Source organism: Homo sapiens, chromosome 8 (assembly GCF_000001405.40).
Source record: "Homo sapiens chromosome 8, GRCh38.p14 Primary Assembly".
NCBI classification, from domain to species: Eukaryota; Metazoa; Chordata; class Mammalia; order Primates; family Hominidae; genus Homo; species Homo sapiens.
In genome coordinates, this window is record NC_000008.11 from 61,810,172 (window position 1) to 61,825,286 (window position 15,115).

Below are 15,115 nucleotides of genomic sequence, written 5' to 3' on the forward strand. Positions count from 1 at the left end.
AAAGAATAGATGTGTTTTCCATTAGCGCTCAAACTTAAGCTGCTGCTGTCTTACGCTGCGTAAAGATTCAAAAAAGGCCGGCGCGGTGGCTCACGCCTGTAATCCCAGCACTTTGAGAGGCCGAAGAGGGCGTCATCATCTGAGGTCCGGAGTTTGAGACCAATTTGGCCAACATGGTGAAACCCCATCTCTACACACAAAAATTAGCTGGGCGTGGTGGCGTGCGCCTGTAATCTCAGCTACTCCGGAGGCTGAGGCAGGAGAATAGCTTGAACCTGGGAGGCAGAGGTTGCAGTGAGCCGAGGTCGCGCCATTGCTCCCCAGCCTGGGTGACAAAAGTGAAACTCCCTGTCAAAAAAAAAGAAAAGTTCAAAAACAAGCCTTGGTATTATGCACCATAGATATTTAGATATCTGTTTTTGATGGAGTCTTTTGAATGATCATTATTATTGCTTTAACCTACATTCACTATTTGTTGACAATGAAACATCTTTCCTAAAAGCTTAAAAATTAAGGTTTTAAACAGCATACTTTTAATACTTATTCCAAAGATTTTCCTGATAATATCACACAATACAAATAATCATTTGAGGAAAGTTTAAATATAACATTCACAATCAAATGAATGATAATTAGTAATCTGCATTCTTTTAGCCTAAATAGGCAATGCACCTTTTCTTATGCTTACTGTCCCAGTTCCTTTCTCTTCCCTTCCTCTTTTTTCATATTACTTAATAATAAAAATTATAAGTACAAGAATAGCAATGATGACTTCCTACAGTCTCAGAAAACTCTTGAAAATCAAATAAAAATAAATTATAACAAGGTAGAATTAACAAAATTCTTGCTGGATTTTAGTATCCAGGTTGTGACACACTTATAAGGATGTATTTTATGAATTGCACTTTAATAAGTTCGGCTTCCTTACTTATTCCAGTGTGCCATATGTACAACCACACACACACATACAGGAATAAATAAACACTGTGTTAAATTTTTCATTGTTCCATTGCTAGCCAAGGTGAGTTAATCCACTGCCAGTTAAATTAACTACTTGGAAATAGCAGCAGGAAGAATATTAAAAGGAAGTAAAAGCACAAAGAAGAACAACTTTTAAACAATGAAACTAAAGTTGAAACTATTCCAAAGAACATATGGGGAGGTTTCATATTCCTGTGACCCCCTATAACCAATGAGGTTAACATGGGTCAAGTTCAGATGAAAAGAGTTTCTCTGCAGATAAAATGTACTTCTTACCTTATATGAAAATAACTTCCAGACTGAATAAAAAAATAAAAGCATCTTTTTCCCTTTAAAAAGTATGTATATTTTTTCTTCATTCAATTTTATTAGTTCATACATTTCTAGAGAGCAATCACTAAGTTGTTTTCTGTTTTGTCTAACATGACACTCCAAGCATATGGATCCTTAAGAAGACTGCACTCCTCTAAAAGAGAGGATTAATAAAGGAAATATTCTTGAATTTCCAATTATATCTGTTGCCCAGTGTAGTCAATCATTTTCAAATTCCAGGGTCTTTACCTGAAGAATCATTTGATAAAGAAGTGTCAAGTCACAGTGTGGAGGGAAGATGTCCTAATGAGGTTCCTGGCGTTGAGACACTCTGAGCCCAGGAGAGTTCTCCCTGTCAGTCATCTCCAGCTTGCTCTGACCCGGCATTTTGTGGACTGCAGCCCAGCTCACCCTTTGTGGAGAGTCTGTAAGCTCTCCCTGCCAGACAGCTCAGATCAATTGACCTTTAATAGTTTTTATTGTTTACGCTGCCCTTTAAAGTATCCATCATCTTTTTTTTAAACCTCTAGTCTAAAGATCTTTCCAGACCTAGACAAATAGAATGCTTCTTTGTCTAGGAAAATGAAGATTCTTCTCAGGGTTTAGAGGTGGGGATAAAAGTCCTGGGGTGGAGAAGATCCTGGGGCTACGAACAGGGCACACATTTGTTCCTCTTTCTTTTTTCTTTCTTTCCCTTTTTTTTTTTTTGAGACAGGGTTTCACTTTGTCACCCAGGCTGGAGTGCAGCGGTGTGATTTTGGCTCACTCCAACCTCTACCTCCCTAGCTCAAGCAATCCTCCCACTTCAGCCTCCCGAATTAGCAGGCCACCATGCCTGGCTAATTTTGTTTATTTTGTTGTAGAGATAAAGTCTCACTATATTACCCAGGCTGGTTTTGAACTCCTGGGCTCAAGCAATCCTCCCACCTCGGCCTCCCACGTTTTGAAATTACAGGTGTGAGCCACTGCACCCAGCCTTCCACCCTCTTTCTGATGCTGCTGATAGGGAAGAAAAAACTCTCCATATTTTTGCTTTGGGACACACCTCTGTCTTTATTTTTTATCCTAATGGCAAGCTCATAATTCTAAACTGAAGGAAAAAGATGTGTGTGTGTGTGTGTGTGTGCATGTGTGTGTGTGTGTACATGCCTGCCAAGAACACATTTTTTAGCACATTCTCCAACCATACTCATCATCCCCCCTCAATATGATAACAAGTGAGGAGCTTTTCTTTTACTCTAGTCCCTCAGCAGTTCCTTTACCATGACCTCTGAGTCTTGAGGGTCATGCTCTTCTCTCTAAATCCCTGGGGGCCTATGGCCACTGAGCTGCAGTAAAGAAGAACTCCAGCTTACAGGGAGGCAGAAATCAGAACAAAGTGCTACTTAGAATTTTTCTTCATTGCACCTTCCATAGTTAATCTTTAGGAACCTAAAACACATCAAGTGGTAATGTTCACCTCAGTGCTTTCTTTATTTTATTTTAGTTTTTAAATTTTTGAGACAGATCTCACTCTGTCCCCCAGGCTGGGGTGCAGTGTCACAATCTCGGCTCACTGCAACCTCAAAGTGCTGGGATTACAGGCGTGAGCCATTGTGCCCTGCCAGTGCTGTCTTTAATATAAGTAAATATATGACAAGGGGGAATAGCAAGTATCATAAATTCTGGTCTCATTTCTGGTCTTAAACCTGAGCTTCCCTCAGAGAAGAATGAACTGGCCGGGCACAGTGGCTCAAGCCTGTAATTCCAGCACTTTGGGAGGCCGAGGCAGGTGGCTCACCTGAGGTCAGGAGTTCGAGACCAGCCTGCCCAACATGGCGAAACCCAGTCTCTACTAAACATACAAAAAATTAGCTGGGTGTGGCAGTGGGCGCCTGTAATCCCAGCTACTCCGGAGGCTGAGGCAGGAGAATTGCTTGAATCTGGGAGGAGGAGGTTGCAGTGAGCTGAGATGTGCCACTGCACTCCAGCCTGGGCGACAAGAGTGAAACTCCGTCTCAAAAAAAAGAATGAACTAACCCTTCCTTCCTCCCTCCTTCCCTTCTTCCCTCCTTCCCTCCTTTCCTTCCTCTTTCCCTCCTTCCTTCCCTCCCTCCCTCCTTTCCTTCCTTCCTTCCTTCCTTCCTTCCTTCCTTCCTTCTTTTTCTTTCTTTCTTTCTCTCTCTCTTTCTTTCTTTCTTTCTTTCTTTTTCTTTCTTCCTTTCTTCCTTCCTTTCTTTCTTTCTCTTCCTTCCTTCCTTCCTTCCTTCCTTCCTTCCTTCCTTCCTTCCTTTCTTTCTTTCTTTCTTTCTTTCTTTCTTTCTTTCTTTCTTTCTTTCTTTCTTTCTTTCTCTTTCTTTCTTCTTCTTGATGTCTTTGCAAAGTACACCTAATAGCACTCAGTGCATAGGTCTGAGTGTCCCAGTGTATGAATGTCTAACACATTATATCTTCTACTCATTTCATTCTGAGGGCATCCTTCATTGAAAATCTCTTTCCTCCTGTCCACTCTCCCAAATTCCCTTCTCCACTGAGCACATTTTTCATTCTGCCCCTTAGCTTAATCCTCCCTCCCCCAATTACTCCCTTTGTAAGTTCTTAGAGACCCCGAAGTTATCTTTGATGCTTGTTTCACTGGCCCGTCAAGTGTGGGGGCTGCACATAATAAACACTCCCCAGTCAGTTAGGCACCTTCAATTAAAACCTCATCTTTTATGCTAGCCAGTCCCACTTCAATAGCATCTCTTAAACAACAATCACATATCACACGTTCCAGGGCTTTCTAAAACAGGTAACAGATGCTGCTAAGATCTGGCAGGCTCCCAGAGTGTAGCTGTCAGTGGCCAAAACTTAGTTGCAAAGGTCCCGATACTCTTGGGTTCAACAATAATTTCCCTCCCGATGCTTAGATTTTAGAAAACAAATCCCCTCTGTTCTAAAGCTTTAGGTTTCTTTCCTCTCTACTATGAGGTAAAAATATGGTGGAGGTAAGCAGGCTTGGCTATTGTAGTGGGTTGAGTGGTGGTCTCTAGGAAGATATATCTAAGCCCTAACCTGCTGTGTCTATGAATGTGATCTTATTTGGAAATAGGATCTTTGAAGATGTAATTAGGTTAAGAATCTCAAGATGAGATTATCTTGGATTCAGGGTGGACCGTAAATCCAATGGCATGTATCATTATAAGAAGAGGAGCAGAAAGAAAGACACACAGGAGAGGCCATGTGAAGTCAGGGGCAGAGATTGGAGTGAGGAGTCTATAAGTCACGCTATTCAAAGGCTCACCAACAACTACCAGAAGAAGCTAGGAGAGTATGGAGGAGATCCTCCCTTAGAGCTTCCAGAATGAACCAAACCTGCTGACATCTGATTTTTGAGTTTTGGCCTGCAGAACTATGAGAGAGTCAATTTCTGTCATTTTAAGCCACTTAGTTTGTGATAATTTGTTGTGGCAGCCCTAGAAAACTAATAAAGCTATTGTAATTTGATTAATGAAGAGATTTTCCTTCTTTTGTACCAGCTATGACCCTGACAATGGATATAGTTGTTTCTGCAGCCCAGAGTACTAAGATTGCCATGCATTACCAATGTCCTTTCCATGTCCAGTCTGGATGGGAAGGATTGCTATTCTCTGGGACCACTCTTCCTGAGACAGTGGTGTGACTCTTAGTGGCACACATGTAACCAAATTCATCAGTTAAATTTGGACATGGCAAATTTTACAAGCTGATCCGTACTGTTATTTGTGTGCACATTTTATTGGTGTAAATTGATTTTAGCTCTTTGAACAACAATATTATATATTTTGTCCTCTCCTGCCCTGCTCATAGGCCCTGATGTGGTATCTTTCAGAGAGCCAGTGCTCAGTGGGGTGTGAGATGCCAAATGACCAGACTCTCCAGGGTTCAGCAGCGTGACTATAAAGAGAAGAATGCTTTCAAAGAATTCAAAAAGGCAGGGATAGAAAAGTGAGCAAAGAGGTTAAATTTACATCACATGTTAAATCCCCTAGTGATCCTTTTGGGAAGCTGGAATCGAAGATGAAGGTGAGTTGTAAAGATGAGCATTGTCACTTCTGCTTTGTTGCCCCTCCCTCTGCTTCCTCAGTTTCTCTGACTTGTCTTCAGTTATGATCTCGGGCCTGGCTCCATTTCTTAGCTAATCCTGAGACCCATCTCTTTTATCCCATTTTCCTGTCCTTGTACCTCACTCCTTCCTCCTTCAAAATCCTTACCTCCAAATTAAGTTGAGATCTAAAGCCTGATTGAGGAGTAGTATTTTCCAGAACATGGGCTTGTTCTCTCTGCAACAGTCACATAAGTGGGTGCATCAGCGTTCACTTATGTAGGCCCAATCTCAGCCCCTACCCCATTCTCCCAATGATCCTCATTTAGAGAAGTGGCACTGCACAGGCCCCTGGCTGGTTTTGTTTAGAGGCTCATCCTGAGCTCTCGTGTACTCATTTACCACCTCAGTTCCTTGTTCAGCCCTTCAGTGGCCCTCACTTCATCCTGTTTCTATGCTCCAACCAGACTTGGATACCTAGAATCTAGAGCAATAACACCTGTTCACCTGGGTCCCTGTCTACTGGTAGCTACTTGGTTGGAAGTCCTAAAGCTGACAAACTCTAGAAATGGAACTGGGAATCCTGGGGCCCTTCGGACACCTAGGGACTTGAACTTGTCTGCACCAGGGCCAGCTTTTAAGGCCAAATTAGCTCTCTTCAGATCATCTCCAACTCCATAAATGGAAGATCTGTGGAAGCCTGGGTTCCTCTTCTCTATGACAACACTGTATTTTTGGGCACCTTTCTTATATGTTGTCACAGCATTCCCAAGTTATAATAAGCATTTAAATATTGAAAAGGGTAAAACAGAATGATAAGACAAAGATAAAAAGTTGTTCAGGTACTGATTTATTGGGCTGTGGAACTAAGCAGGTTGTGCTTAATGTGAACATTTTGAATAATAAATAGGAAAGGTTAATCATTAGTTAATACCCCACTGAAAATAAAAAGAAGTAAGGCTTAATAGCTGTGGTCAAATACCACTATTCAATAAGAAATGCTAAAGATGATATGGAAGTGTGGTTTTAGGACATAAAAGGGAAGTGTACATTATTCTTGGCTCACTCACCCTGTGTGTGGGTGATGTTAAAAGAAAACAATGCCAAATGAAATCTAAAGGGAATTGGAGTAATAAAGCATCACCAGGTGCACTCTACTTATCCTCACAGAAACTCTAACCAACAGGTGTATGAAGAAAGCAAATTTGTAATGGCTTTGCAAAATAAGAAATCAGTATTAAAGTCCTCAGAGAAAGGATGCTATGAAAAGATTTATATTAATAAATCCAAGAAGATCAGTAAAAAAGTATAGAGAAGGAAAAACCTTCTTCAGCTCCACCATTCTAAGTTTAGGAACCAAACACAGCTATTTGAGAGGGTCTTTGGGCTAAGGGAGGGAGTAATTTTATTGGGAAGTGAGAAGCCTTTATAATGGAAATGTCTTAACAGGGCTTGGTACTTCTTAGCATATTTACAAGACTCAAAATTGTCTGGTTTACCTTTACCAACATTATCTTCGGATATTTATGAACCTGTTGTTAAAATCATGGCTCAGTAATGGGAATCGCTTGACGAACTGAATCCCAATGGAAGGTTGTCTTACTTAAGACAGAAGATTAGCATGGAAGGTAGAGGCTTCGATATCAAGAAGTTAAACAGATGTAAGAGAAATTACTCTGAAGAAAATAAATAGAAAATAGAATGAGTCAGACTGTCTTGCAAAATGCTGGAGGGAAGGGAAATTGGTAGAAAATTTTCCAGTCAGTTATTTTGTAAAATACATAGAATCTAAAAAAAAAATTTCACCTATTAATTCTATTTTCCCAATTCTATTTTCTCTACTCTAGTTTTCTTAGTATAATATAATTCAAACAATTATTTAACTGAAAATAATACAGATAAGTATCATCTTTCACTGTACTGTTTTAATAAAAATCACCAAAAATAAGAGGTACTAGAGGGCATAATGCTTGCACAAATAAACATTCATGGTGTTAAAATAATTATTTAGGAAACAAAACTTTGGAAATGTTTAGATATTGGTTGTTGTCCCTAAGTGGTGTGCCCTTATGTGAGGATTTGAAATATTTAGACTTGGTTCATTTTAATACTGAACAAAATTAAATCAACCAGCTAGTAAAGTACGGCCAGATCTTGTACACTTTTCAGCTCGCAATATTTCCATTCACAGTGTGAATGGTGCCTGTATCAATTAGTGTTCAACCAGAGAAAAAGAACCAGTGGGAGATATATAAACAGATTTATTGCAAATGACTGGCTTACACAATTGTGGGGTTGGTTGGACAAGTCTGAAGTCTGCAGGGCAAGCCCTAATGAAGGGCAGGCTGGACCTCTTGGGCATGAATTGAATGGCTGCCCACTGGCAGAATCTCTTCTCCTTCTGGAAAGCCTCAACTCTGCCCTGAAGGCCTTTCAAACACATTTAATCAGTCCCACCCAGGTTTTCTACACTTGATCTTAGCCAAAAGGCCGAGAAGCAATCTATCCAGGTTTTCTAAGTCAAGTTTCCTTGCGTAAAGTCAACTGACTACGGACTTTTACTACATCTACAAAATTCTTCAATGACAGCAACACTCTAGATTAAGTTTGATTGAATAACTAGGGATTAACACAAAAACTGTTCATCACAGTTCACTATGGGTCAATTTGGCATTTAAACACATGTCCTTAGTTTATACACAATCTCCAAATACAGACAATAACATGAACATACTTCTGCTGTCTGTGGCAAAACTATCCCATATGCAACCAAAAACATGCTCACCCTTTCCCCAGAAGACAATGCAAAGTCCTCGGGTGATGTTCACTCTTCTGTAATATAAAGTTAGTTATCATTCTTATGTCTTATATTAGATAACAAGTGAATAAGAGGAAAGCAAATATATTTAGTTCACAACAACTAAACAAATATTTAGTTCAAAACAAACATTCACAAAAAATAAGGAAAATACTCATAACTATTATAGTCTTCATTTCTGCAACTGATCATATGGTCCTAGCTGATATTGATAACTACACTATAATACTATATTTTCCCACACCCATTCAATATTCCCTTTGCCCTCAACAAGCATCTTAGCTGGTCATGGTTTTGTGCCAGAGGGGGTGATTCTACCTTCATTCCTAAAGGGTTTGGGTCATTAGAAATCTTACCTAAATTGACTTCTGTTACTTTTCCATAGACATTAACTACAAGACATGCTAGTACTATGAGTTTCCCCAAGGACTCTTTTGTGTTCTAGAGATATTCTTCATTACCTCCATTGTGTACTAGAAGCCCATTTTTTCCTTGGTTATCATGGCCAAACTGTAATAAATATAGTAACCTCATTCTTTTATTGTTCTTTCAGAGGCATGAGTAATCCAAACTGTTTGTGTGGCAGTCTCAATTTCTAGTTCAGTGGGATCATGTTTTGTCTTCTGGTAGAACCATTTATTCCTTAAAAACTAGAATCTCTAGACTAGAAAAACTGAAGGTCTTAGAGATGTTTTTAAAAATTGCTGGTAAAACACTAGGGCTAATAGTAAGTGGAACCACTCCCATTTTCCTGCCTTCAATTTTGGTTATTTGAATTATGACTATGGTAGTAATAGCAGCATATATTGAACATTAATTTAGAGTACATACAGCATCCTGGAGGATGTCCTAGTCCCTGCCCCAGTTTTTCAATTTATTTCCACCCAACTATTATTATAACTGAGTCTTCACCATGTTATTTCATCATTCTATCAAGCTAGCTGCTTCAGAATGGCAGGGAATATGATCATTCTGTAAGCTCATAGTTTTGGCAGAAACATTGCATTCAGGAAAGGCAAATCCATATCCAGACTAAGTGTCTATTTCTTTAAGAAAAAACCACCACCTGTATCATGGTGGAAGTGGTCCAATGCAATTAAGTTGCCACTAGGTTACCTGGATGATTACCTTAACGAATGAGTCCATATAAAGCACTCAGTGTTGGTCTCTTCTGCTGGTAGACTGGGCACTCAACAGTGGCCATAGCAAGGTTGGCCTTAGTGAGTAGACATAGTGCTGAGCCCATGCATGGGTAAGCCCATGCGTAACTGTCACCATTGAGTAATGACAAGAATGGCTGGGAAATGAAGCTGACTGGTATTGACGGGATGGATCATTCTATTCACTTGATTAATAAAACCCTCCTCTAGTGAAGCAACCCGTGGTGAGCCTTTACATAAGACATAGATATCTTCAGATTTGGTGCCCACTTAGAGGGTCTCCATCCACATACCTCAGCAATTTTCCAACAATGTTTTTTCCAAGCTCCTGATCTTTCAGCCAACCCATTGGCTATAGCCTATGAATTAATATAGTCTTAAACCTCTGGCCATTTCTCCTTCTGAGTAAATAAACAACTGGGTACACTACTCAAATTTCCACCCACTGGGATGGTTTTCCTTCTCCACTGTCTTCAGGAATGTCCACAATGGGCTATAGTGCTTCAACCATCCACTTTTGGGTAGTGTCTGCATATTGTGCAGAACCATCACTAAACCAAGCTCAAGTTTTGTCTTCCTCAGTCAACTAGTTGTAGGGAACTGGTTATAAGGCCATATCTGCAGACTAGGAGACAGAGTAAGTAGTGCAGCAAGAATTGGGGTCATGAATATTTGGCTCACTTCCTGATTAAACTTGTGCCTCCAGGGCCTACTTAAGCCTAATTTTATATATAGGACTTCCACATACAATAATGCAATATTTTTGTGCATTCCCAACTTTATGGCTTGTAGAACAGACAACATCCAATATGTGAGAGAAAGCTCTGGTCATATGGTTACTTGGTTGCCCATAGCTAAGTGTTCAGTTTAAGGCTTGGTAGCAAGCTAAAAACTGTTTCTCAAAAGGGGAGCAGTAACGCACAGAGGATTTCAGGGCTTTGCTCCAAAATATAAGGCATCCACTGTATTTCCCCATAAGTGTGCAAAAGTCTTCAAACAATATCTCTTTCTGCTGCTGACACATCAAACACCATTGCATCTTCTGAATCATATGATCCAAGTGGCAGAGCAGTTTGCACGGCAAACTGGACCTGTTTCAGAGCCTTTTCTTTTTATACACCTCAGTTAAAACTAGCAGTTTTTTCAAGTCACCCAGTAAATGCTGGAGTACCATACCCAAATAAAGAATATGTTGTCTCCAAAATTTAAAGAGGCCTTATAAGTGTTGTGCTTCTTTTGCAGTTGTAGGAGAAGCCAGATGAAACAACTTATCCTTCATCTTAGAAGGGATATCTTGCCCTACTGTACACCACTGGACCCCCAGAAATTTCACTGAAGTAGAAGGCCGTGGCATTTTTCTAGATTCATTTTTCATCCTTGGACATGCAATTGTCTTACAACTACGTCTACAGCAGTTGCTATTTCCTGCTTCGCAGGTCCAATCGCCATAATACTCGTCTGTAATAGGCCCGTGTGATATCTTGTAGAAGGGAAAGGCAATCAAAGTCCCTGTGGACTAAATTTTAGCTGAATTAATTTATATGGACTAAATATAAGTTTAGAGAGTTGATATACCCTAGAGGCAGGATAGTGCCTCCCGAGTTCAAGCGAGTTCAAGTGCAGGTTTATCGGTGGCCTTGCCAGCTAGACAAACTGCTTCTGCTTGTCTATGTTATCAGATATCAAGAAAAAAGCATTTGACAAATCGATGGCTGCACACCAGGTACCAAGGGATGTGTTAATTTGCTCAAGCAATTAAATCACATCTGAAACAGCAACTGCAATTTAAGTTCACTTGATTCTGTTCCTGGATAATCTGTTGTTATTCTCCAAGATCCATCTCTTTTCCACACAGGCAAATAGGCAAGTTGAGTGAGGGTGCGGTGGGAATTGTTACCTCTGCATCCTGATGTTGGCATTAATGTTTGCAATCCATCCAGAAATAAGATATGGGTTTTAATTTGCTATTTTTCAAAGTAGAGGCAGTTCTATTGGCTTCCTTTTGGTATTTTCTTACTATAATAGCTCTCGCTTTAGAGGTCAGTAAACCAATATGGGAATTCTGCCAGTTGCTGACTATTTCTATCCAATTATTTATTCTGGAACTGGAGAAGTAACTGCAGGATGGGTTTGGCGACCCACTGGGTCACTATAAGATGGATCTAAGCTAAAACTCCATTGATCTTCTGACCTCCATAAGCTCTGACACTGACTGGTGGACAAACTCATGTTTTGTCTCCAGAAATTAGTATCAATTCACAGCTGGTGTTCAGTCAGTAACTCTCCAAAAGTTTCATCATTTTCTTTTCCTCATTGCACAGTCACCTTGATAACAGGCCATGAGTTCCTTTGTGGAAGGCTGAGAGAGAAAGATTAACAATATAAAGTTTTAACCGTGTACCAGGCATTCTCCTCAAAAGGACCCAGCCTCCCTTTCATTCAAGGAGTTCTGGGTCTATAAATTAGCTCAAGTTGGGAAACGGGTTAAGGAGCTCAGTCTGTCTGTTTTGGTGATTCCTGCTAGACTTCTGTTCACTAGATACAGCTCTCTTCTGCTAATATAGATCAAGTACTAATTTAGTAGACTGCCCATCTATTCCTTTTCTTTTCTTTTTTTTTTTTTGTGAGATGAAGTCTCACTCTGTGGTGCAGGCTGTAGTGCAGTGGTGCTATCTTGGCTCACTGCAACTGTCACCTTCTGGATTCAAGCTATTCTCCTGCCTCAGCCACCTAAGTAGCTGGGATTACAGGTGCCCACCACTATGCCTGGTTAATTTTTGTATTTTTAGTAGAGATGGGGTTTCGCCATGTTGGCCAGACTGGTCTCGAACTCATGACCTCACGTGATCCACTCACCTCGGCCTCCCAAAGTGCTTGGATTACAGTGTGAGCCACTTGCCTAGCCCTATTCCTTTTCTAGGGACATCAGGATAAACTGGAAAACCCCATGGGTTTTGGTGAATCAGATTTTTTTACTACTACCTTGGCTCTGCTGTCCTTTACAGTAGCCACACCCACCTTGTCTGAGGCAATGAAGAGCCACCACTTGGCCCCTGCCACCCTGAGATATTGTTATACCCATTGCACTTAGAGATCCTTTTTTTTTTTTTTTTTTTTTTTTTTTTTTTGCGGCATGGGGATGGAGTCTTGCTCTGTTGCCCAGGCTGGAGTGAAGTGGTGCGATCTCGGCTCACTGCAACCTCCGCCTCCCGAGTTCAAGCGATTCTCCTTCATCAGCCTCCCGAGGAGCGGGGATTATAGGCACCTGCCACCATGCCCGGCTAATTTTTGGATTTTTAGTAGAGACGGGGTTTCACCATGTTGGCCAGGCTGGTCTCAAACTCCTGACCTCAAGTGATCCACCCACCTGGCCTCCCAAAGTGCTGATATTACATGTGTGAACCACTGTGCCAGCCTGAGATCCCATTTTGATGATGTCAGTTCCCACTGTACTTTCTGACCTGAAGAGAGATGAGAGAGCTCTTCAAGGAGGCTGGGACATCCTTCAAAAATCTATTTCTCAAAGTTGTGGTGAAAACTGTGTCTTACGGACCCTATCAGGTCAGTTGAGGAGATCTTTCTTACATGATCTTTCGAACATTCCACTTTTCTTAAGCCTTTGGATACCTTATGATACAGTGTTACAAGTCAGTTCTAACATTCAGCATTATTTGGCACAGGCCACCTTCAGGTTCATGTTTCTGTGAACCCACCAACCAAACCAAGCCTTTTCTAACCACTCAAGCTAACCCAAATATTTGATTAGTGGTTCATATCAAGAAATTTGGCTAGATTCAACTTTATATTTCTTCCACTACAATCTTACATTCTTACAATGCATTCCCACATGAATTCCCCGGGTTTCTGTCTGTATAAACTGGAAACATCGTGCAGTTCTTTTCTCATATGGCACACCTTCTCACAGCTTACATTTTCTACCTCACCCTTGGGGGCCTGCTGTGGTTGAGTCTAATTATAGGTCTAGAAGCAAAGAGGAGTACTGGCCTTGGGCCCTAAGGAGAATCAGCAGTATCTTTCACGGCAGTTACCTCAGGGAAAGCCATTACAGTTTCTTCAGGCTAATCTCCTCAGGCAGGGTGTAGAAAGGCTGCTTCTTGACAAAGAAGACTAAGCTTCATTGTGATCTACCCATATGTCCCCCTTCAAACTTTCAGGATCCCCTCCCTTCCCAGTCAAAGCTCTCTGCTTAACAAAAGACACCCTGCAATGTTGAGAATCTAATTTGCATTTTAATTTAGCCACTCACAGGGTTAGACTCTGAATTTGGTTTTCAGAAATTCTTGCCCCTGGGCTACAGATGATAAAGGTTTCTTTCAGGGCAGACAAAGAAGCTTTCAGATTATTTATGTAGAGATTGAACTGAGAATTTGAAACTCTGAGCTTATCCTATTCTTTCTCCACTTTCTTTAGTACAATCAGGAATAACCAGCCAAACACATTGTACTCTTTGGTTTTACTAAAATGTTCTAAGGTAGAAAATACGCCATAACCCAAATCTCACCTTTCATAGGTATTTGATTAAGAGTATCCAGTGTCTATATTTTGTATATCTCTATTGTTACACTGTGACATGAACTACCAATGCCCTTTTTACCACTGGAATAGATCAATAGGTGTCTTTAAATCTAACCATATTAGGGAACCAATTTCAGAAACCCCAGAACCAATACAGAAAACTCACTCATTTGGCTCTAGAACCCCTTCCGGTATCAAAATCTGTATCAGTTAGGGTTCTCTAGAGAAATATACATGGTGGGAGATATATATTAACATATTTATTACGAGTAATTGGCTTATATGATTGTGGGGGCTGGCTGGGCAAGCCAACTGTATTAGTCCATTCTCACTCTGCTATAAGGACATACCCAAGATTGGGTAATTTATCAATGAAAGTGATTTAATTTACTCACAGTTCCCCAGGACTGGGGAGGCCTCAGGAAACTTACAATCATGGCAGAAGGGGAAGCAAACACATCTTCTTCACAAGGTGGCAGGAGAGAGAAGAATGAGAGCCAAGCAAAGGGGGAGGCCCCTTATAAAACCATAAGCTCTTGTGAGAACTCACTATCACGAGAACAGGATGGGGAAAAGCTCCCCCATAATTCAATTACCTTCACCTGGTCACTCCCATGACATGTGGGTATTATTGGAACTACAATTCAAGATGAGATTTGGGTGGGGACACAGCCGAGCCATATTACCAATGTCCTCTAAAATCTGTAGGGAAAGCTACCAGGAAAGGCAGACTGGAACTGCTGGGCATGAGTTGAGCCTGTTGTCCACAGGCAGAATTTCTTCTGTCTGAAACCCTCAGCACTGCTCTTAAGGCCTTTTAACACAATGAATTAGGCTACCCAGGTTTTCTAAGTCAAGCTCACTTACAGAAAGGCAACTTATTATGAACTTTCATCATGTCTATTAATTGCCTTTACAGAACATCCAGATGGGGATCCAGGTTGAATAACTGAGGTTTTAGCCTAATCAAGCTGACAAGTAAAACTTACCATAATAGTGCTCATTAGAAATGGTGCTGCCTGAACTCATGAAAGATGTCTGACCATCATTCTGTCATACCCTGATAATACTGATAAGAAAATTGGGAATCTAAGAGAACGTAAGGAGAGTGATGGTGACATATTGAACCTAAGGTGATACTACATGATCCCTGTTTCTGGCATTACACTCTTATTTTCCCCTCCTCTTCAATGTGGGTAGGACCTGTGACTTGTATCTAACCAATAGAATATGACAAAGGTAATAGGTTGTTATGCGATGTCATAG

General features: G+C 40.7%; 2 long non-coding RNA genes across 6 annotated transcripts in view; one reads left to right on the plus strand and one right to left on the minus strand.

The window, feature by feature from the left end:
* Nucleotides 1-15,115, plus strand: part of LINC02842 (long intergenic non-protein coding RNA 2842) — a 77,208-nt gene that overhangs the window by 25,125 nt on the left and 36,968 nt on the right. The gene's annotated exons all lie outside the window — the stretch shown is intronic.
* On the minus strand, nt 309-15,067 carry LOC105375871 (uncharacterized). Of its 4 annotated transcripts, XR_928971.4 has the most exons (4): nt 14,839-15,067; nt 9,282-11,672; nt 8,121-8,167; nt 320-348 (listed from the first exon to the last, which is right to left on the minus strand). It is a non-coding gene; the product is annotated as an uncharacterized LOC105375871 (long non-coding RNA). The 4 variants fall into 4 exon arrangements; XR_928972.4 differs by lacking the exon at nt 8,121-8,167 and having other exon boundaries at nt 309-348; XR_928970.4 differs by lacking the exon at nt 320-348 and having other exon boundaries at nt 7,167-8,167.